Source organism: Homo sapiens, chromosome 12 (assembly GCF_000001405.40).
Source record: "Homo sapiens chromosome 12, GRCh38.p14 Primary Assembly".
In the NCBI taxonomy this organism is placed as follows: Eukaryota; Metazoa; Chordata; class Mammalia; order Primates; family Hominidae; genus Homo; species Homo sapiens.
The window spans coordinates 116,752,857-116,775,210 of NC_000012.12; the positions used below are offsets into that span (position 1 = coordinate 116,752,857).

The 22,354-nt window shown below is 43.9% G+C and overlaps 1 protein-coding gene and 1 pseudogene across 6 annotated transcripts in view, besides 3 other annotated features; one reads left to right on the forward strand and one right to left on the reverse strand.

The window, feature by feature from the left end:
- RNFT2 (ring finger protein, transmembrane 2) overlaps positions 1 to 22,354 on the forward strand; it is a 115,317-nt gene that overhangs the window by 14,542 nt on the left and 78,421 nt on the right. For all 6 annotated transcript variants that reach the window (NM_001382266.1, NM_001109903.2, XM_047429745.1 and 3 more), the window contains exons 5-6: positions 1,128 to 1,204; positions 13,958 to 14,058. In NM_001382266.1, the coding sequence (NP_001369195.1) occupies positions 1,128 to 1,204; positions 13,958 to 14,058 (178 nt within the window). The remainder of the gene's footprint in view (positions 1 to 1,127; positions 1,205 to 13,957; positions 14,059 to 22,354) is intronic.
- Positions 2,497 to 3,061, reverse strand: RPL21P105 (ribosomal protein L21 pseudogene 105; annotated as a pseudogene).
- Positions 6,765 to 7,349: an enhancer, noted in NCBI's record as "H3K27ac-H3K4me1 hESC enhancer chr12:117197426-117198010 (GRCh37/hg19 assembly coordinates)". NCBI's record gives its function as "activates a minimal SCP1, AML or CMV promoter by ChIP-STARR-seq in primed H9 embryonic stem cells {active_cell/tissue: H9 hESC(primed)}" and the evidence as "EXISTENCE:reporter gene assay evidence [ECO:0000049][PMID:30033119]".
- Positions 6,765 to 8,074: a biological region, named in NCBI's record as "MED14-independent group 3 enhancer GRCh37_chr12:117197536-117198735".
- Positions 6,875 to 8,074: an enhancer, noted in NCBI's record as "MED14-independent group 3 enhancer chr12:117197536-117198735 (GRCh37/hg19 assembly coordinates)". NCBI's record gives its function as "activates an origin of replication core promoter dependent on BRD2, BRD4, P300/CBP and CDK7 cofactors, and independent of MED14, by STARR-seq in HCT116 cells {active_cell/tissue: HCT116}" and the evidence as "EXISTENCE:reporter gene assay evidence [ECO:0000049][PMID:35650434]".

Below are 22,354 nucleotides of genomic sequence, written 5' to 3' on the forward strand. Positions count from 1 at the left end.
GACAGAGTGAGACAGTGTCTCAATAAATAAACAGTAAGTGCATCAGGTGAAAGAGGAATCCTGTCTACAAATAACAAAAAGCAGGACTCGAAAATCATTATTTGGGGAGAATTCCAAGATTGTAGCTTGGCAAACAGTGGCAATGAAATGACTGGTGGAAGAAAATTCAATTCCGTTCTGCCATCTGCCTGGGTCATGTTTGTCTGTTAGCTGGGATTTTTTTTTCTCATTGAACATTAAACTTGAATTCCTTATGGCGTTGTAAGTTTTTTCTTTTTCTTTTTTCTTTTTCTTTTTTTTTTTTTTTTTTTTGAGACAGAGTCTTGCTCTGTTGCCCAGGCTGGAGTGCAGTGGTGTGATCTCAATTCACTGCAGCCTCCCCATCCTGGGTTCAAGCAGTTCTTGTGCCTCAGCCTCCTGGGTAGCTGTGACTACAGGCACATGCCACCATGTGTGGCTAATTTTTGTATTTTTACTAGAGATGTGATTTCACCATGTTGGCCAGGCTGGTCTCAAACTCCTGGCCTCAAGTGATCTGCCCACCTCGGCCTCCCAAAGTGCTGGGATTACAAGTGTGTGCCACTGCACCCAGCGGTGAGTTTTTTCAATGTATGCTTTTATCACAAATTCTATCTGATTCTATCAATCAGATTCTTTTTAAAAGTAGAAATAATAAGAGGCATCATTCACTAACTGCTAGGGATTATGATCTAGAAGCTTTATCCCTCTATGAGGTATAAGTAATGTTATTGTTCTGTCCATTTTACAGATGAGGAAACTGGGGCTTAGAGAGGTGCGGTGACTTGCCCAAGCTCAAACAGAGAGGAAGTGGCAGAGCTGGGAATTGAACCCAGCCCTTACCAGACTGCACAGCCCATCCCCTGATCCAGTGCTATAAAGTATCCCCACAGGGACCTAAATCCTGTCCCTAAGTCAGAATGGCTCAGAATTCCCAGAGATTTAGATGGCAGCCCAAATCCCCAAGAAGTGGGATTTTTTTTATTTTTCTCTCTCTTCTGTCAACTCTGAGGGGACCAGGGATGTGCCTTTTCCCCCATGTTGCTCAGCACCTGGGCTAGGCCTGATGAGTCTAAGTGGGTGACATCAGGCCCTTCTCTGTCCCACAGGCATTGCTGTGTGCATCGGGATGGCCAGCACCTTCGCCTATGCCAACTCCACGCTTCGAGAACAGGTCTCACTGAAGGTGAGTCACTTTCCGACCTAGTCTCCTGTGGCTGCTGCAACAAATAAGCCACAAGCCAGGCACAGTCTTCCCGGCAAGTCTCCAGAGTTCATTGTATCATTCTTATGCCTTTGCGTCCTCATAGCTTAACTCCCACATATCAGTGAGAACGTACAATGTTTGGTTTTCCATTCCTGAGTTACATCACTTAGAATAATAGTTTCCAATCTCATCCAGGTCACTGCAAGTGCTGTTAATTCATTCCTTTTTATGGCTGTGTAGCATTCCACCATGTATATATGTATATACATATATATACACCACAATTTCTTTATACACCCGTTGATTGGTGGGCATTTGGGTTGGTTCCACAATTTTAAAATTGTGAATTGTGCTGCTATAAACTTGCGTGTGCAAGTATCTTTTTTGAATAATGACTTCTTTTCCTCTGGGTAGATACCCAGTAGTGGGATTGCTGGATCAAATGGTAGTTCTACTTTTAGTTCTTTGAAGAATCTCTCACACTGTTTTTCATAGCGGTTGTACTAGTTTACATTCCCACCAGCAGTGTAGACGTGTTCCCTGTCCACCGCATTCACACTAGCATCTATTGTTTTTTGACTTTTTGATTATGGCCATTCTTGCAGGAGTGAGGTGGTATCACATTGTGGTTTTGATTTGCATTTCCCTGATCATTAGCAGCGTTAAGCATTTTTTCATGTTTGTTGGCCATTTGTATATCTTCTTTTGAAAATTGTCTATTCATGTTCTTAGCCCACTTTTTGATGGGATTGTTTGTTTTTTTCTTACTGATTTGTTTGAGTTTGTTGTAGATTCCGGATATTAGTCCTTTGTCAGATGTACAGATTGTGAAGATTTTCTCCCACTCTGTGGGTTGTCTGTTTACTCTGCTGACTGTTCCTTTTGCTGTGCAAAAGCTCTTTAGTTTAATTAGGTCCCAGCTATTTATCTTTGTTTTTATTGCATTTCCTTTTGGGTTCTTGGTCATGAAATCCTTGCCTAAGCCAATGTCTAGAAGGGTTTTTCCAATGTTATCTTCTAGAATTTTTATAGTTTTAGGTCCTAGGTTGAAATCCTTAATCCATCTTGAATTGATTTTTGTATAAGGTGAGAGATGAGGATCCAGTTTCACTCTCCTACATGTGGCTAGCCAATTATCCCAGCACCATTTGTTGAAAAGGGTGTCCTTTCCCCACTTTATGTTTTTGTTATGTTCAGTTAGCTGTAAGTATTTTGGTTTATTTCTGGGTTCTCTATTCTGTTCCATTGGTCTATGTCCCTATTTTTTTTTATAGCCCAGAGGTCTTTTTTTTTTTTTTTTTTAACACCTATTATGCCATGAATTCACAGGGAATAGGTTCCAGCAGCTCAGGCTCCTTCCCATTGGCTCTCACAAAGTGTGCTTCTCTGGGTGGAGCAGGCTGGCGCTTGAGTTGAACCCAGGTACCTTTCTCTTCCGCTTCTTTCTTTTTCTGATCATTTTCCTTCATGCATTTCAGGAAGCTATCTCGGCTCTCAGAGTGCTTAATGTGCTCAATATGCACATTAATTCTCTCGGCAAGAATCTTGCCCTTAACTTGTTTGTTTACAACAATGCCAACAGCATGCTGGGTAACATTGTAGACTCTTCCAGTTTTGCCATGGTAACACTTACGGGGCATTCCTTTTTGAACAGTACCCATTCCCTTGATGTCTACGATATCACCTTTCTTATAGATTCACATATACATGGCCAAAGGAACAACTCCATGTTTTCTAAAAGGCCTAGAGAACATATATCGGGTGCCTCTCCTCTTTCCCTTTGTGTTCGTCATTTTGGCGAATTACTAGAAGATGGCAGTTCCGGCTGAAAGGAAAAGATATGTCCTTATTTTTGTACCAGTACCATGCTGTTTTGGTGACTATGGCCTTATAGTATAGGTTGAAATCAGGTAGTGTGATGCCTCCAGCTTTTTCTTTTTGCTTAGTCTTGCTTCAGTTATGTGGGCTCTTTTCTGGTTCCATATGAATTTTGGAATTTTTTTTTTCTAATTCTGTGAAGAATGATGGTAGTATTTTGATGAGGATTGCATTGAATTTGTAGATTGCTTTTGGCAGTAGGGTCATTTTCACAGTATTGATTCTACCCATTCATGAGCATGGGATGTGTTTCCATTTGTTCGTGTCATCTATGATTTCTTTCAGCAATGTTTTGTAGTTGTCCTTGTAGAGGTTTTTCAACTCCGTGGTTAGGTATATTCCTAAGGTTTTTTTTTGTTTTTTGTTTTTTGTTTTGCAGCTATTGTAAAAGGGGTTGAGTTCTTGATGTGATTCTCTACTTGGTCGCCGTTGGTGTATAAAAGAGCTACTGACTTCTGTACATTAATCTTGTATCTGGAAAGTTTGTTTTATATTGGCTGTGGGTTTATCATAGATGGCTTTTATTACACTAAGGTATGTCCCTTGTATGCCATTTTGCTGAGAGTTTTAATCATAAAGGGATGCTGGATTTTGTCAAATGCTTTTTCTGCATCTATTGAAATGATCATGTGATTTTTGTTTTTAATTCTGTTTACGTGGTGTATCACATTTATTGACTTGTGCATGTTAAACCATCCCTGCATCCCTGGTATGAAACCCACTTGATCATGGTGGATTATCTTTTTGGTAATTTGTTGGATTCGGTTAGCAAGTATTTTGTTAAGGATTTTAGCATCTATGTTCATCAAGGATATCCATCTGTAGTTTTCTTTTTTGGTTATGTCCTTTCCTGGTTTTGGTATTAGGGTGATGCTGGCTTCATAGAATGAATTAGGGAGGGTTCCTTCTTTCTCTATCTTGTGGAATAATGTTAAAAAGATTGGTACCAATTCTTCGAATGTCTGGTAGAATTCTGCTGTGAATCTGTCTGGTCCTGAACTTTTTTTTGTTGGTAATTTTTAAATTACCATTTCAATCTCGCTGCTTGTTATTGGTCTGTTTAGGGTATCTAGTTCTTTCTGATTTAAGCGAGAAGGGTTGTATTTTTCCAGGAATTTATCCATCTCTTCTAGGTTTTCTAGTTTTTGTGCATAAAGGTGTTCATAGTAGCCTTGATTGGCCTTTTATATTTCAGTGGTGTCACTTGAAATATCTCCTGTTTCGTTTCTTAGTGAGGTCATTGGATTTTCTCTCTTCTTTTCTTGGTTAATCTTGCTAATGGTCTATCAGTTTTATTTATCTTTTCAAAGAATCAGCTTCTTGTTTCGTTTATCTTTTGAATTTTTTTGTTTCAATTTCATTTAGTTCTGCTCTGATCTTGGTTATTTCCTTTCTTCTGCTGGGTTTGGATTTGGTTTCTTCTTGTTTCTCTAGTTCCTTGAGGGGTGACCTTGGAGTGTCAGTTTGTGCTCTTTCAGTCTTTTTGATGTAAGCATTTAGGGCTATGAGCTTTCCTATTAGCACCACCTTTGCCATATCCCAGAGGTTTTGATAGGTTGTGTCATTATTGTCATTCAGTTTGAAGAATTTTTTAATTTCCATCTTGATGTCATTTTTGATCCAATGCTCATTCAGGAGCAGGTTATTTAATTTCCATGTGTTTGCATGGTTTTGAAGGTTCCTTTGGGAGTTGATTTCCAGTTTTATTCTGCCGTGGTCTGAGAGAGTACTTGATATAATTTCAATTTTCTTAAATTTATTGAGGCTCGTTTTGTGGCCTATCATATAGTCTATCTTGGAGAAAGTTCCATGCGCTGTTGAATAGAATGTGTATTCTGCGGTTGTCAGATGAAATGTTCTGTATGTATCTGTTAAATCCATTTGTTCCAAGGTATAGTTTAAATCCATTGTTTCTTTGTTGACTTTCTGTCTTGATGACCTGTCTAGTGCTGCCAGTGGAATACTGAAGTCCCCTACTATTACTATGTTGCTGTCAATCTCATTTCTTAGGTCTGTTAGTCATTGTTTTATAAATGTGGGAGCTCCAGTGTTAGGTGCATATATATTTAGAATTGTGATATTTTCCTGTTGGACAAGGCCTTTTACCATTATATAATGTCCCTCTTTGTCTCTTTTAACCACTGTTGCTTTAAAGTTTGTTTTGTCTGATATAAGAATAGCTACCCCTGCTTGCTTTTGGTGTCCATTTGCATGAAATGCCTTTTTCCACCCCTTTAAGTTTATGTGAGTCCTTATGTGTTAGGTGAGTCACCTGAAGGCAGCAGATGGTTGGTTGGTGAGTTCTTATCTATTCTGTGATTCTGTGTCTTTTAAGTGGAGCATTTAGGCCACTTACATTCAATGTTAGTATTGAAATGTGAGGTACCATTGCATTCATCATGCTCTTTGTTGCCTGTGTACTTTGGTTTTTTCATTTTTTGTTTTTGCTTTTTAACTTGTATTTTTGTTTTATGGTCCTGTGTGATTTATGCTTTAAAGAGGGTCTGTTGTGATGTGTTTCCAGGATTTGTTTCAAGATTTAGAGCTCCTTTTAGCAGTTCTTATAGTGGTGACTTGGTAATGGCAAATTCTTGGTAATGGGTGAATTCTCTTAGCATTTGTTTGTCTGAAAATACTGTATCTTTCCTTCATATATGATTGTTAGTTTCACTGGATACAAAATTCTTGGCTAATCATTGTTTTGTTTGAGGAGGCTGAAGATAGGGCCCCAATCCCTTCTAGCTTGTAGGGTTTCTGCTGAGAAATCTGCTGTTAATCTGATGGGTTTTCCTTTATAGGTTAGCTGGTGCTTCTGTCTCACAGCTCTTAAGATTGTTTCCTTCGTTTTAACTTTGGATAACCTGATGACAGTGTGCCTAGGCAAAGACCTTTTTGCGATGAATTTCCCGGGTGTTCTTTGTGCTTCTTGTATTTGGATGTCTAGGTCTCTAGCAAGGCCGGGGACGTTTTCCTCGATTATTCCCCCAAATATGTTTTCCAAGCTTTCAGAATTCTCTTCTTCAGGAACACTGATTATTCTTAGGTTTGGTCATTTAACATAATCCCAGACTTCTTGGAGGCTTTGTTCATATTTTCTTATTCCCTTTTCTTTGTCTTTGTTGGATTGGGTTAATTCAAAGACCTTGTCTTCGAGCTCTGAATTTCTTTCTTCTACTTGTTCAATTCTATTGCCGAGACTTTCCAGAGCATTTCGCATTTCTAAAAATGTGTCCAAAGTTTCCTGAATTTTTAATAGTTTTTTCTTTAAGCTATCTATTTCCTTGAATATTTCTCCCTTCACTTCTTGTATCATATTTTGGAATTCGTTGCACTGGGCTTTGCCTTTCTCTGGTCCCTCCCTGATTAGCTTAATAACTAACTTTCTGAATTCTTTTTCAGGTAAATCAGGGATTTCTTCTTGGTTTAGATCCATTGCTGGTGAACTAGTGTGATTTTGGGGGAGTGTTGAAGAGCCTTGTTTTGTCATATTACCAGGGATGGTTTTCTGGTTCCTTCTCATTTGGGTAGACTCCGTCAGACGGAAGGTCTAGGGCTGAAGGCTGTTGTTCAGATTCTTTTGTCCCAGGGGGTTTTCCCTCTTTTTGGTACTCTTCCCCCTTTTCCTATGGATGTGGCTTCCTGTGAGCCAAACTGCAGTGATTGTTGTCTGTCTTCTGGGTCTAGCCACCCAGCGAGTCTACCTGGCTCCAGGCTGGTACTGGGGGTTGTCTGCACAGAGTCCTGTGATGTGAACTGTCTATGGGTCTCTCAGCCATGGATACCAGTGCCTGTTGCCATGGAGGTGGTGGAGGGTGCAATGGACTCCGTGAGGGTTCTTAGCTTTGGTGGTTTAATGCGCTATTTTTGTGCTGGTTGGCCTCCTGCCAGGAGGTGGCGCTTTCCAGAGAGCATCAGCTGTGGTAGCGTGGCGAGGAACCCGTGGAGCTCTAGAACTCTCGAGTTTCTATGGCCTTTGTCTTCCGCTACCAGGGTGGGTAGGAGGGAAGGACCATCGGGTTGGGGTGAGGCTAGGCGTTTCTGACCTCTCACTCTCCTTGGGCGGGTCTTGCTATGGGTTAAGTAGATGACATTCCCAGGTCACTGGTGTTGTGTACCAAGGAGGATTATGGTTGCTTCTGCTGAGTCATGCAGGTTGTCAGGGAAGTGGGGGAAAGCTGGCAGTCACAGGCCTCACCCAGCTCCCCTGCAAAACGAAGGGCCGGTCTCACTCCCACCATGCCCACCACAACAGCCCCCAGACCATTTCCAGGTGGAGAGCGATAGGGGCTTGAAAACCTGCCCCAGACTATCCGCCTCCCAGCTGCCAAAGAAGAGGGTTTAGTTCGTGCCGCCGCTGTGGAGTCTGCACACTGGATTTGCACCCTCCCCTGAGTTCTGGCCAGGAGGCTTCTTACCCTGTTCAAATTGTTACACAGTTCAGCTAGAGATTTGCTTCTCCCTGTGGAGTTTTAGCCCTTGCTCCTACCCATTGGATCCCCGTGGTGCCAGACAGGAATGGGCTGCTGGGGGACCCAGTGAGCTCCCAGGGCCTTGCTGCTGCTTCCTCTACGCCTGTATTTTGCTTGGCTTTCCAAATTGACTCAGCGCCAGATAAAGTTGGAAACTTCTCCTGCAAACAGACCTTCAGCTTCCCCCGTGAGGGTGAGTGTTCGGGAGAGGAGGGTCTCCCTTTCCCACTTCCGCAGTTGGGGCATTCGCAGTTTTGGGGGGCTCTCCTGGGTCCTGCAGGAGCAGTCCGTTTCCTTCAGAGAGTCTGTGGGTCCTCTCGGGATTGCTGGTTTGTCCTTGCAGTCAATCTGGTGCTAAAATTCACAATGCGAGCTGCCGCCCGCTGCTCTCTCTGGAGCTGCAATCTAGTCCTGCCTCCCATCCGCCATGATCTCACCAAAACCTCTTCTTTTATTTCATAATTTTTAGAGACAGAGTCTTGCTCTGTTGTCCAGGCTGCAGTGCAGTGGCATGACCATAGCTCATTGTAGCCTCCAACTCCCGGATTCAAGCAATCCTCTGACCTCAGCCTCCTAGGGAGGCCATTCTTCGGTCTATCACCCCTGGGTAGATCCCTGAATGTTCCTTCTTTCTCCCCTCCAACAGCAGCATCTCCTCCACGTACACCTAGCCCAGTCCCTTTACGCCGCAGACATTCAGCTCATTAGCTCACTTTCATTTTTTGTTTTTTTCTTTTTGAGACGGAATCTTGCTCTGTTGCCCAGACTGGAGTGCAGTGGCATGATCTTGGCGCACTGTAACCTCTGCCTCCCAGGTTCAAGCAATTCCTCTGCCTCAGTCTCCCCAGTAGCTGGGACTACAGACACACACCACCACGCCTAGCTAATTTTGTATTTTTAGTAGAGACGGGGTTTCACCATGTTGGCCAGGCTGGTCTCAAACTCCTGACCTCCGGTAATCCGCACACCTTGGCCTCCAAAAGTGCTGGGTTTACAGGCGTGAGCCACCATGCCTGGCCCCATTAGGTTACTTTCATTCCACCTTCATGCTTATGGCCATTCCTCTTATGCTGCTGGGTGGACATAGAGCTTCACCACCATCCTCCTGCATGTCCTCTGTGTCTGCTGAGCACTAACTGCGTGCCCGGCACAGTACTGAGCCCATTGCTCATCTCAGCAGGTTCATCCCAGCAACCTGGGAGGGAAACAAAATCATTTTTCTGTCATTTTCCCACTGAGGAAACAGTGGCTCAGAGACACTAAGTTCCTTACCTGAGGTCACACAGCCAGTGCAAGTGATGGCATCATGATTTGCACCTGGGTAGTTGAGCCCGTGCTCATTCCAGGTTCAAATCCCTGCTCCTCCACCCACCTGCAGACCCTCAATTAGGTTACCTTGGTGATCTCAGCCTCAGGTGCCGCCTCTGGAAAAGAGCCTGTTGGCACCAATTCACAAACCCATTGAAAGGATTGAATGAAATAGTGCATCCAGGCCGGTCGCGGTGGCTCACGCCTGTAATCCCAACTACTCAGAAGGCTGAGGCATGAGAATCATTTGAATCTGGGAGGCAGAGGTTGCAGTGAGCCGAGATCACACCACCACCCTCCAACCCGGGTGACAGAGTGAGACTGTCTCAAAAAAAAAAAAAAAACAGAAAAAAAGAAAAGAGCCAGGCACTGTGGCTCATGCATGCAATCCCAGCATTTTGGGAGGCCAAGGCAGGTGGATCACTTGAGGTCAGGAGTTTGAGACCAGCCTGAACAACGTGGTGAAACCCCGTCTCTACTAAAAAGATACAAAATTAGCCAGCCATGGTGGCTCACACCTGTAATCCCAGCTACTTGGGAGGCTGAGGCAGGAGAATTGCTTGAACCTGGGAGGTGGAGGTTGAAGTGAGCCAAGATTGTGTCATTGCACACCAGCCTGGGTTGAGATGGTTTGATGGTTTGAGATGGTTTCACTCCATCTCAAAACAAAAAAAAAAAACAAAGAAAGAAATAGTGCATACAAGGTGTTTAGCACAAGTACTGGGTATGGTGGCCTATGCCTGTAATCCCAGCAACTCAGGAGGCTGAGGCGGGAGGATCCCTTGAACCCAGGAGTTTGAGACCAGTCTGGGCAACATAGCAAGACCCCTTTCTTCTCTACCAATTTTTTTTTTTTTTTTTGAGATGAAGTCTCACTCTGTCACCCAGGCTGGAGTGCAGTGGTGCAATCTCGGCTCACTGCAACCTCTGCCTCCCAAGTAGCGAGATTACAGGTGTGCACCACCAAGATTACCAAGTGATTCTCCTGCCTCAGCCTCCTGAGTAGCTGAGATTACAGGTGCATGCCACCATGCCTGGCTAATTTTTATATTTTTAGTAGAGATGGGGTTTCACCACGTTGGCCAGGCTGGTCTTGAACACTTGACCTCAGGTGATCCGACCACCTCAGCCTCCCAAAGTGCTGGGATTACAGGCGTGAGCCACCATACCTGGCTTGCAAAAGTTTTTTTAAAAAGTTAGCCAGGTGTGGGGGCATGTGCCTGTCATCCTAGCTACTCAGGAGGCTGAAGCAGGAGGATTGCTTGATCCCAGGAGTTTGAGGCTGCAGTGAGCTATGATTGCACCACTGCACTCTAGCCTGGGCAACAGAACAAGACCTTCTCTGTTTAAGAAAAAATAAAAAGAAGGCAATGTTTAGCATGGTGCCTGGCATGTAGGAAACATTTAATTGAGCTAGTTTTCAAAAGTCTGTGCTTTCAGAAAAAAAAAAAAAATCTCATCAGAAAGTGGCCTAAGGATGTTAATAGGCAATTCTCAAAAGAAGATATACAAATGGCCAACAAACTTATGAAAAAATGCTCAGCATCACTACCGATCAGGGAAATGCAAATCAAAACCACAATGCAGTACCACCTTACTCCAGCAAGAATGGCCATTATCAAAAAATCAAAAAATAATAGATGTCGGCATGAATGCGGGAACACTTCTGCACTGCTGGTGGGAATGTAAACTAGTACAACCACTATGGAAAACAGTGTGGAGATTCCTTAAAGAACTAAAAGTAGAACTAGGTGGGGCGCAGTGGCTCACGCCTGTAATCCCAGCACTTTGGGAGGCTGAGGTGGGTGGATCACAAGGTCAGGAGATCGAGACCATCCTGGCTAACACAGTGAAACCCCATCTCAGTTAAAAAAAAAAATAACAAAAAAAAAATTAGCTGGATGTGGTGGCAGACGCCTGTAGTCCCAGCTACTCGGGAGGCTGAGGCAGGAGAATGGCGTGAACCTGGGAGTTGGAACTTGCAGTGAGCCGAGATCGCGCCACTGCACTCCAGCCTGGGTGACAGAGCGAGACTCCATCTCAAAAAAAAAAGGGGGCGGGGGGGGAAAGAACTAAAAGTAGAACTACCATTTGATCCAGCAATCCTACTACTAGGCATCTACCCAGAGGAAAAGAAGTCATTATACGAAAAAAATACTTACATACTCATGTTTATAGCAGCACAATTCACAATTTCAAAAATGTAGAACCATCCCAAATGCCCATCAACCAATGAGTGGGTAAAGAAACTGGTATATGTATATGATGGAATTCTACTCAGCCATAAAAAGGAATGAATTAATGGAATTCGCAGCAACCTGGATGGGATTGGAGACTATTATTCTAAGTAAAGTAACTCAGGAATGAAAAGCTAAACCTTTTGTATGTTCTCACTCATAAGTGGTAGCTAAGCTATGAGGATGCAAAGGCATAAGAATGATACAGTGGACTTTGGGGACTCTGGGGGAAAGAGTGGGAAGGGAGTGAGGGATTAAAGACTACAAATTGGGTTCAGTGTATACTGCCCAGGTGATGGGTGCACGAAAATCTCACAAATCACCACAAAAGAACTTATTCATGTAATACCACCTGTTCACCAAAAACCTATGGAAATAATTTTTTTTTTAAAGTCTGTGCTTTCTCCTGCACAGGTGATCCCATAATAATCACCAGCTTCACTGACCCTTCTATAGCATCGTCTGCTTTCTCAAAAGCACTTGGGCCTCCATGCAGCATGGAGGACAACCCAGTCTCCATTTGCACATGAGCACATTGAGGTTCGGAGTTGGGGACAGAGTCAGAGGTCCTTCCTGACCCTTAGTCTCATCTTCTTTATGCAAACTCCTTTCTGCTGTTGTTAAAACAGTAGGAGGGGGCAAGGACAGTGGCTCACGCCTATAATCCCAGCACTTTGGGAGGCTGAGACAGGTAGATCACCTGAGTTCAGCAGTTCGAGACCAGCTTGGCCAACATGGTGAAACCCCGTCTCTACTAAAAATACAAAAATTAGCTGGGCATGGTGGTGGGCGCCTGTAATCCCAGCCACTTGGGAGGCTGAGGCAGGAGAACCACTTGAACCCAGGAGGCGGAGGTTGCAATGAGCTGAGATTGCGCCACTACACTCCAGCCTGGGCAACAAGAGCGAAAGTCCGTCTCAAAAACAAACAAACAAAACAGTAGGAGGCAGCTTTGGGGGCTAGGTCTGTCTCAAATGCAGTAACATCCAAATGGCACCTTGACTTAAATTTTAGGAGCTGAGAGGATCTCTGTATCCATGGACGGGCCTCCAGGGGTCCTTGATGCTCATGAAGACACAGGTGACACTTTGCCTGTATGTGCGTATCTTCCATAAGAGCAGGTCTACATGGCCCTTAGTAAGCTTAGGCGTCGCAGCTGATTAGGAGAGAACTACCTCCTTTGTCCTTCAGTTTCTGTCTTCCCAGAACATTGCTAATTCCCTCTTCCTATTCCACCTTTGGTTTGGATTCATAGAGAATTAAACTGGAATCTATTATTCATTGGAGTAAAAAGAGCTGCCAGGTGGATTAATCACATTGATAAGAGCAGTTGGTTGGTTGGAGGTGGTTTCTAGCATCATTAACCTTGACTGCTCCTGGAATAATGGGTGGATGGAGATGCATTTGTTTCGTCCACTCTCTGGAAATGTGCATCATAACAGTGCGTGGGGCACTGAGCTGTGTCTGGAGACACTGTGTATTGAGCATTTACCGAAACCACAGGGAAGGTTACACTGGGAAAGTTATGACCTCATCTTATTCCAGCAATGCAGCCACTCCAGTCTGAAAAAAGGCACGAGCTGTTGAGAATCAACAGCAGAGGGATCTGCCTATGTGTCCCAGGGTACATAGGCAGGAACACGCCCCCCTTTGCATCTCCTTCAGACATTTCCTAGGATTGCTGTCAGGCTATGAAACTGCTGGGAAACAGCAAACTGAGGATTTCCAATTTGTCTTCCTGGGGACTAGACAGGAATGAGGCTGAAGAAGGAGAAATGGGGCTGGATTGTGAAGGGCTTTGAGAATTAGGTATATAAGCTTGGATTTAATTCTACACTGTGGCATTCCATGGAATGGTCAGTCCAGGGCAGCGGGCCAGAGGTCTTCCCTAGAAAAAGTGAAAGCAGAAATTTCCAGCCTCTAGATCTGAATCTTCTGCTGGGTTGTAAACTCTTAATAATCAGTCCTACCCCTTAGCAAGCTTTAAATATGAATCTGTACCAGACTGAATGTTTGCATTTAAAAATTTGACTTTTGCCTGTAATTCCAGTGTTTTGGGAGCCCAAGGCAGGAGGATCACTTGAGGCCAGGAGTTCAAGACCAGCCTGAGCCAAATAGCAAGACTCTGTCTCTAAAAAAAAATAAAAATTTTTTTTTAATTAGCCAGGTATAGTGACACCTGCCTGTGGTGCTAGCTACTTAGGATGCTGAGGCAGGAGGATCACTTGAGCCCAGGAGTTCAAGGTTACAGTGAGCTATGATCACACTACTGTACTCCAGCCTAGGGAACAGAAAAAAAAATTAAAATAAAAAATTTGATTTAATCTTTAACAACCCCATTTTCAAATGAAGACACTGAGACTTAAAACACAGCCCCTTGAGGTTTCTTAACCTCTCTGTGCTTTAGTTCTTAACAGCATTTTATGTACTTTAATTCTTACAACTCTATAAGGTAGATACTAAGATATACCCATTTTACAGATGAGGAAAGGGAAACTGAAAGAGTTTAAATAACTTGCCTGGAGTTGGACAGCTCCCACACAGGATTTGACCAGGGATTTGAATGTGTGCCATGCTGCTCTGGAGTCTGCTGCGAACCATGGTGTTCTCTTGCCTTTCTAGATAGTTTTTCAAGCAGATGTCCACCATTCTGCCACCTTCTCCGTGACCACCGCTTGGGTATCAGTGGAATAGAAAGGTGCCAATGCCCTTCCTTTCACCTTCAGCACCACTTCCTTCAAAATGTTGACAAAGTGAAAAGCTGCCAGTCATCAGGGTACATTCTGGAAGGTTCTGCCACATGCACCTTTGATATCACATATCTCTTGCTTTGTCTTCAGGAGAAGAGGTCAGTGCTGGTCATCTTGTGGATCCTGGCCTTTCTGGCGGGGAACACCCTCTATGTGCTTTATACATTCAGCTCCCAGCAGCTGTACAACAGGTGAGCATGGGAATCCAACCCCCACGGTGGGAGAGTGGGGCACTTGGCTGGGCTTGGGGCACGTACCCTTTCACTTGAGAATGAGGCACAAGCTCTATGTCATGTTGTAACTTCCAAATTCCACCCTGCTGTTACTACTTATATATATCTAGACCAGCACTCAATAGTAGAATTTCAAGGCAAGCCACATAGGTAAATTAACATCTTCTAGTTACTGAAAACTAAACAGAAACAGGTGGAATCAATTATAATAATTGATTTTATTTAACCCAGTATATCAAAAATATTTGTTTTTTGTTTTGTCTGTTTGTTTTGCTTTTTTTTTGAGACAGGATCTCACTGCATCACCCAGGCTGGCAGTGGTGTGATCATGGCTCACTGCAGCCTCGACCTCCCAGGGCTCAGGTGATCCTCCCACCTCAGCTTCCCAAGTAGCTGGTACTACAAGTGCATGCCACCACACCTGGCTAATTTTTACATTTTTTGTAGAGATGGGGTTTCCCTGTGTTGCCCAGGCTGGGCTCGGACCTCTGAGCTCAGGCAATCCACCTGCCTTGGCCTCCCAAAGTGCTGGGATTGATTACAGGTGTGAGTCGCCGCACCTGGCCCCGAAAGATTGTCATTTCAACATACGATCGATATAAAAATTATGTTTTTTTTTTGTTTGTTTTTTCTTGTTTTTTGAGACAGAGTCTCACTCTGTCGCCCAGGCTGGAGTGCAGTGGCACGATCTCAGCTCACTGCAATCTCCGCCTCCCAGGTTCAAGCAGTTCTCCTGCCTCAGCCTCCCAAGTAGCTGGGATTACAGACATGCGCCACCACGCCCAGCGAATTTTTGTATTTTTAGTAGAGACAGGGTTTCACCATATTGGTCAAGCTGGTCTCAAACTCCTGACCTCGTGATCCACCTGCCTTGGCCTCCCAAAGTGCTGGGATTACAGGCGTGAGCCACTGCCCCTGGTTTTACATTCTTTTTTCACGTTAACTCTTTGTAATCTGGTATCTTACATATACAGCTCATGTCAGTTCCAACTAACCACATTTCAAGTGTTCAAAATGGTTAGTGAACACTGTATGAATAGTGCAGGTCTGGAATATTTCTGGAAGGACAACCAAGAAACTAGAAATAATAATTGCCTCTTGGTGGGCACTGGAGATCAGAAACTTACTTTGCACAGTTTGGCCTTTTTTTTTTTTTTTTGGAGATGGAGTTTCACTCTTTGTTGCCCAGGCTGGGGTGCAGTGGTGCAATCCCGGCTCACTGCAACCTATGCCTCCCAGGTTCAAGTGATTCTCCTGTCTCAGCCTCTTGAGTAGCTGGGATTACAGGCACCTGCCACCATGCCCAGCTAATTCTTGTATTTTTCATAGAGATGGGGTTTCACCATGTTGGCCAGGCTGGTCTCGAACTCCTGACCTCAGGTGATCCGCCGGCCTTGGCCTCCCAAAGTGCTGGGATTACAGGCATGAGCCACCGCACCCAGCCCAGTTTGGCCTTTTATATTACAGTCATGTGTCACGTAATGATGTTTCTGTCAACGATGGACCATATAGACAACAGTGGTCCCATAAGGTTATAATGGAGCTAGAAAATTCTATTACCTAGTGATATTGCAGCCATCATAACGCTGTAGCACAGTGCCTTACTCATGTATTTGTGGTGATGCTGGGGTAAACCTATTGTCCTGCCAGTCATATAAAAGTAGAGTGCATGCAATTATGTACAGTACCTAATGCTTGATAATGATCATAAAAGACTATGTTACTGGTTTATATTTTTACTATACTTTTCATTGTCATTTTTTTTTTATTTTTCTCTCTCTTTTTTTTTTTTGAAACGAGTTTTGCCCTTGTCGCCCAGGCTGGAGTGCAGTGGTGTGATCTCGGCTCACTGCAACCTCCGCCTCCCAGGTTCAAGTGATTCTCCTGCCTCAGCCTCCCAAATAGCTGGGATTACAGGTGCTCACCACTACGCCCGGCTAATTTTTGTATTTTTAGTAGAGAAAGTGTTTTGCCATATTGGCCAGGCTGGTCTCAAACTCCTGATCTCAGGTGATCTACCTGCCTCAACCTCCCAAAGTGCTGAGATTGCAGGCGTGAGCCACAGTGCCCACCCATTGTCATTTTAGAGTATACTTTTTCTACTTGTAAAAAATAAAAGTTGGCCGGGCGCAGTGGCTCACACCTGTAATCCCAGCACTTTGGGAGGCCAAGGTGGGCAGATCACGAGGTCAGGAGTTCAAGACCACCCTGGCCAAGATAGTGAAACCCCTGTCTCTACTAAAAATACAAAAATTAGCTGGGCGTGGTAGCAGGTGCCTGTAATTCCAGCTACTTGGGAGGCTGAGCCAGAGAATTGCTTGGACCCGGGAGGCAGAGGTTGCAGTGAGCCGTGATCACGCCACTGCACTCCAGACAGAGTGAGACTCCGTCTTAAAGTTAACTGTAAGGCAGCCTTAGGCAGTGCCTTTCAGAAGAAGACATTGCTATCGTAGGAGATTACAGCTCCATGGGTGTTATTGCCCCTGAAGATCTTCCAGTGGGACAAGATGTGGAGGTGGAAGACAGTGATATTGATGATTCTGACCCCACGTAGGGTGAGGCTAAGGTGTACGTTTATGTCTTAAGTTGTAACAAAAAATTTTAAAAATAGGAAAAACCTTATAGAATAAGGATATAAAGAAAATATTTCTGTACAGCTGTACAATCTGTATTAAGCTAAGTGTTATTATAAAATAGTCAAAAAATAAAAACTAAGTGTACCAAGTAAAAATGTTACAGTAAGCTAAGGTCAATTTATGATTGAAGAAATAAACATTTTAAAATAAATGTAACGGCCGGGCATGGTGGCTCATGCCTGTAATCCCAGCACTTTGGGAGGCCAAGGTGGGTGGATCATTTGAGGTCAGGAGTTTGAGACCAGCCTGACCAACATGGTGAAACCCCGTCTCTACTAAAAAAAATACCAAAATTAGCCAGGTGTGGTGGCAGGATCCTGTAATCCCAGCTACTTGGGAGGCTGAGGCAGGAGAATCATTTGAACCCGGGAGGCAGAGGCTACAGTAAGCCAAAATCGTGCCACTGCATCCAGTCTGGGTGATAGAATGAGACTCTATCTCAAAATAAAATAAAATAAATGTAGTGTAGCCTACATGTACAGTGTCTGTAAATTCTACAGCAGTGTATAGTCATGTCCTAGGCCTTCACATTCATTCACCACTCTCTCATTGACTCACCCAGAGCAACTCCCAGTCCTGCAAGCTCCAGTGATAGTAAGTGTCCTATATGGGTGTATCTTTTTTCATCCTTTATACAGTGTTTTTACTGTGCCCTTTCTGTTTAGATATACAGATACCATTGTGTTATAATTGTCTATAGTATTCAGTACAGTAACAAGCTATGTAGGTTTGTAATCTAAGAGTAATAGGCTATATCATATAGCCTAGATGTGTAGTAGGCTATGCTAACTAGTTTTGTGTAAGTCAACTCTGTGGTGTTCACACAAGGACCAGGTCACCTAAGGATGTGTTTCTCAGAACATGTCCCAGTCATTAAGCGATGTATGACTGTATTTGATTTTTCCCCCATCTGATGAATGTAACAGCTTTTAAAAGTTATTTTAAGTATGTATGTCTTTTTTCTTTGTTTTTTCATTTTTTTTTTAAACAACATCTTGCTCTGTCACCCAGGCTGGAGTGCAGTGGTGTGATCACACTCACTGAAACCTTGACCTCCCAGCCTCAAGCAATCTTCCCACCTCAGACTCCCAAGTAGCTGGGACTTCAGGCGCATGTTACCATGCTCAGCTAAATTTTTTTATTTTTAGTAGAGATGAGGTTTCTCCATGTTGCCCAGGCTGGTCTTGAACTCCTTGCCTCAAGTGATCCACCCACCTCAGCCTCCCAAATGGCTCACAGGTGTGAGCCATTGTGACCAGCTTTTTCTTTTTTCATTCATTCATTCTTTCATTCATTTATGCCTGTACTTTTTAAAAGTCCTTAAAGATACTCACTAAAACAGAGGTTGGCAGACTACAGCCATTCACCCATTTTTATTAGTAACATTTTGCTGAAACACAGCTACACCCATCCATTTACGTATCATTTATGAGTTCATCTGTGCTCCAACAAAGTTGAATGGTTATGGCAGAGACCATATAGCTTACAAAGCCAAAAATATTTGCTCTCTGTTTTTAAAGGAAAAGGTTGCTGACTCCTGACCTAAAATATTAACAGTGGTCCTCTAGACGTTAAACATGTGGATAGTCCAGGTGCGTTGGCTCACGCTGTAATCCCAGCACTTTGGGAGGCCGAGATGGGCAGATCACTTGAGCCCAGGAGTTCGAGACCATCCTGGGCAACATGGTGAGACTCCATCTCTACAAAAAATACAAAAATTAGCCGGGCATGGTGGCGTGCACCTATAGTCCCCGCTACCCTGGAGACTAGGGTGGGAGGATCACATAAGCCTGGGAGGTCAAGGCTGCAGTGAGCCATAATCACACCACTGCACTCCGGCCTGGGTGACAAAATGAGATCCTATCGTTAAAAAAAAAAAAAAAAAAAAAAAAAAAAAAAAAAATACGTATATGAGCAATTTTATTTTTTTCTTTAGAATTATCTGTATTTTATAATTTTTTTGTAATGGACACTTTTTTTTACATAGTAATAGCAGTGCTTTTTAAATAATGTTAAGTGATAAAAATGTCTACCCCATCTGGGTTGAGCTGTGCAGAGACAAGGTAACAGGGCTTCTTGCTCCTACACCCCAAATACATGTCCCATGATGTGGGCACCCTCTTCTGTGACATTGACTCAGAGTTCTACGCAATGTGGTGGGGCAAGTGGGGAGGCAAAGCACAGGAAATTGAATGGATTACTTAGCCCCGACTTATCATCAGCTTCCTTAAAATATCCCTGTCACCCTGGCAGCCATGCACCTGGAAGTTCTTTTGAAACGAGACGCTTCCTCCACAAATCTGCCAACGTAAATGAAGCAGGCAGAATCTCACTCACTCCCATGAACATCTCGAACGGTCAACAGTTTCCCTCCTGAGTTCCTTCAGGGCTGCTTGCCAGCCTCCGATGTTTTTTAATGAGTTTGTTTCCCCTGGTGCCTATACAATGCTGTCCCATAGTTGCTGCCCCATCAATATTTGTCAAATAAATGAGTATCTCAGATTTTTTTTTATTTTGGAGACACAGTCTTGCTCTGTTGCCCTAGCTGGAAGGTAGTGGTGCCATCATGGCTCACTGCAGCCTTGAACTTCTGGGCTCAAGCGATCCTCCCACCTCAGCCTCCCAAAGTGCTGGGAATACTGGCATGGGCCACCACACCTGGTCACAGTTTGTAAAGTTACTTATATTTCTAATTTCAAAAGTAATTTTTATTTTATTTTGTTTTTATTTTTTGAGACAGAGTCTCGCTCTGTCACCAGGCTGAAGTGCTGTGGTGCGATCTCGGCTCACTGCAACCTCCAGCTCCCTGGTTCAAGCGATTCTCCTGCCTCAGCCTCCTGAGTAGCTGGAATTACAGGCATGTGCCACCACGCCCGGCTGATTTTTGTATTTTTAGTAGAGACAGAGTTTCACCATATTGGCCAGAATGGTCTTCATCTCCTGACCTCGTGATCCACCCGCCTCGGCCTCCCAAAGTGCTGGGATTACAGGTGTGAGCCATTGCGCCCAGCCCAAAAGTAATTTATTTTTAATTGTGAAAATTGGAAAACCCATTTAAAAAGGACCAAAAACACCTCCAATTCTGTCACCTAACAGCAACTCTGCTAACATTTTTCTCTACATATTTATACATATTTGTTGTGGAAGTTGTAGTGTGCAGAACATGCCATTTTACAACTCTTTCATTTACCAGCATATCACTTTAATGCACAAGAAATGTCAACAAATGCAAGGAGCATTTCTTTATTTATTTTGAGACAGAGTCTTGCTCTGTCGCCCAGGTTGGAGTGCAGTGGCACAATCTCAGCTCACTGTAACCTCCGTCTCCTGGGTTCAAGCAATTCTCCTGCCTCAGCCTCTCAAGTAGCTAGGACTACAGACACATGCCACCACATCCAGCTAATTTTTGTATTTTTAGTAGAGACAGGGTTTCACCAAGTTGGCCAGGATGGTCTCGATCTCTTGACCTTGTGATCCACCTGCCTCGGCTTCCCAAAGTGCTGGGATTACAGGTATGAGCCACCACGCCCGGCCAATTTTTCATAATTTTAATAGAGACAGGTTTCACCATGTTGGCCAGGCTGGTCAGGAACTCCTGACCTCAGGTGATCTGCCCGCCTTGGCCTCCCAAAGTGCTGGGATTACAGGCGTGAGCCACCATGCCCAGCCGCAAGTAACGTCTATTGACACTTCCTGTGTGTGTGCCCAGGACTATATTAAGAAAACATATCAACTAAGGGCCCTTTGGGTTACTAACTTAAGCAAACAGGGAATTCTTCCTTTAGGCATTGTTCCATGCAGGGACTCAAACAATCCTAGGAAAACCAAACAACAAGCCTCGAGAAAGGGCAGGGACCAGGGACTTCCTGGAATTTGATGTTCAGTTCTTGGCATGACTTAGCCGTTCACTGGCAGTCTCTGTTTCTCCTTTAAAATTAAAGACAGAGCGCTTCTGGTTGGCTTTTCATGGGCCAGAGGGGCTGGGTCGCAGAGTCCAGTGGGGATGTGGATGCTTTCCCTGAGGATGGCAGTGGTGAGCACATCTCAGAATAGTCACAGGCTCAGCAGAGGCCCTAAATGCAACTACTTGGAAGAATCTGTAGAGGGTGTAAGGGTGATGGGAATCACATCTCTACATCAGATACAAAATTGTGTAAGTCCCAGACTTAGAGATTTCACAAACCAGTAAATTGACCCACAACAAAGTCCAGGGGTTTACCATGTAGATATCTGCTTGCTTTTTGCAACTGAAAACATATTTTTAAAATGATCATCATGCAATAGCCAAAAGGTAGAAGCAACCCAGTGTCTATTGACAGATGAATGGATAAACACCCTGCGGTATGTACATACAGTGGAATATTATTCAGCCTTAAATAGAAAGGAAATTCTGACACATGCTGCAACATGGATGAAACTTGAGGACATTTTGTGAATTGAAATAAGCCAGATAAAAAAGGACATTAAGTGTATGATTTCACTTACATGAAGTACCTAAAGTAGTCAGATTTATAGACAGAAAGAATGGCGGTTGCCAGGGACTGGGGGGAGAAGGGAATGTGGAGTTACTGCTAATGGGTACAGAGTCTCAGCTTTGCAAGATGAAAAGAGGTCTGTGGTTGGATAGTGGTGATGATTATGCAACAATGTGAATGTACTTAGCATCATTGAACTGTGCGCGTAAAAATGGTTAAGACGGTACCTTTTATGTTATGTGTGTTTTACCACAATTAGAAAAAAAGATCATCTACCACTGACATCATTTCATAAAAGAATGGTTATTTTAACACCAAAGAATTAAGTAGGAAAGAAAAATAATCCTGTAAGCAGAATACATTTAGCTTCATTTAAAAAAAAGTATTTAGAGATCACTGCATAAGCGAATGCTAATCAGAACGTGATTGCTGTTTGTGGAAACTATCAGAGCTGTCAGAATTGAGGGAAGATTCTTTTGTGGATGGTTGGGGGTAGGGTTGGCCAGAGGACCTCTAGGACAGGGATGAAACTCAAGTCAGCCTTTCAGATCACATCCATCTGTTTTGAAAATGAACTTTAAGGACTGAGTGGTTTTGCCATCTTCTGAGGCTACCCATAAAAGCAATTTGAGGACTCAGTTCTGAGGCGTCAACACAGATCTCATACGCCGCATTCAGTGCATGGTCTAGAATGTCAAGGTCCGGGTGGAGGGTGGAGGGTGGAGGGGATGGAGGGTGGAGGAGGTGGAGTTTCCCAGAACCTTGGATGAATTTCCAGCTCATGCCATTTTCTGGGTATGATGATATTCCCAGTCTCAGACCTCTGTGCCCCCATCAAAGCAGGCTGAGTCAAACTGGTGCACAGAAAGAGAGAGAGAGAGAGAGAGAGAGAAGCTTAAGAGAGGAGCAACAGGCCATGTGCGGTGGCTCACGCCTGTAATCCAAGCACTTTGGGAGGCTGAGGTGGGCGGATCCCCTGAGGTCAGGAGTTTGAACCAGCCTGGCCAACATGATGAAACCCTGTCTCTACTAAAAATACAAAATTACCCAGGTGTGGTGGCACATGCCTGTAATCCCAGCTACTTGGAAGGCTGAGGCAGGAAAATCGCCTGAACCGGGGAGGTAGAGGTTGCAGTGAGCCAA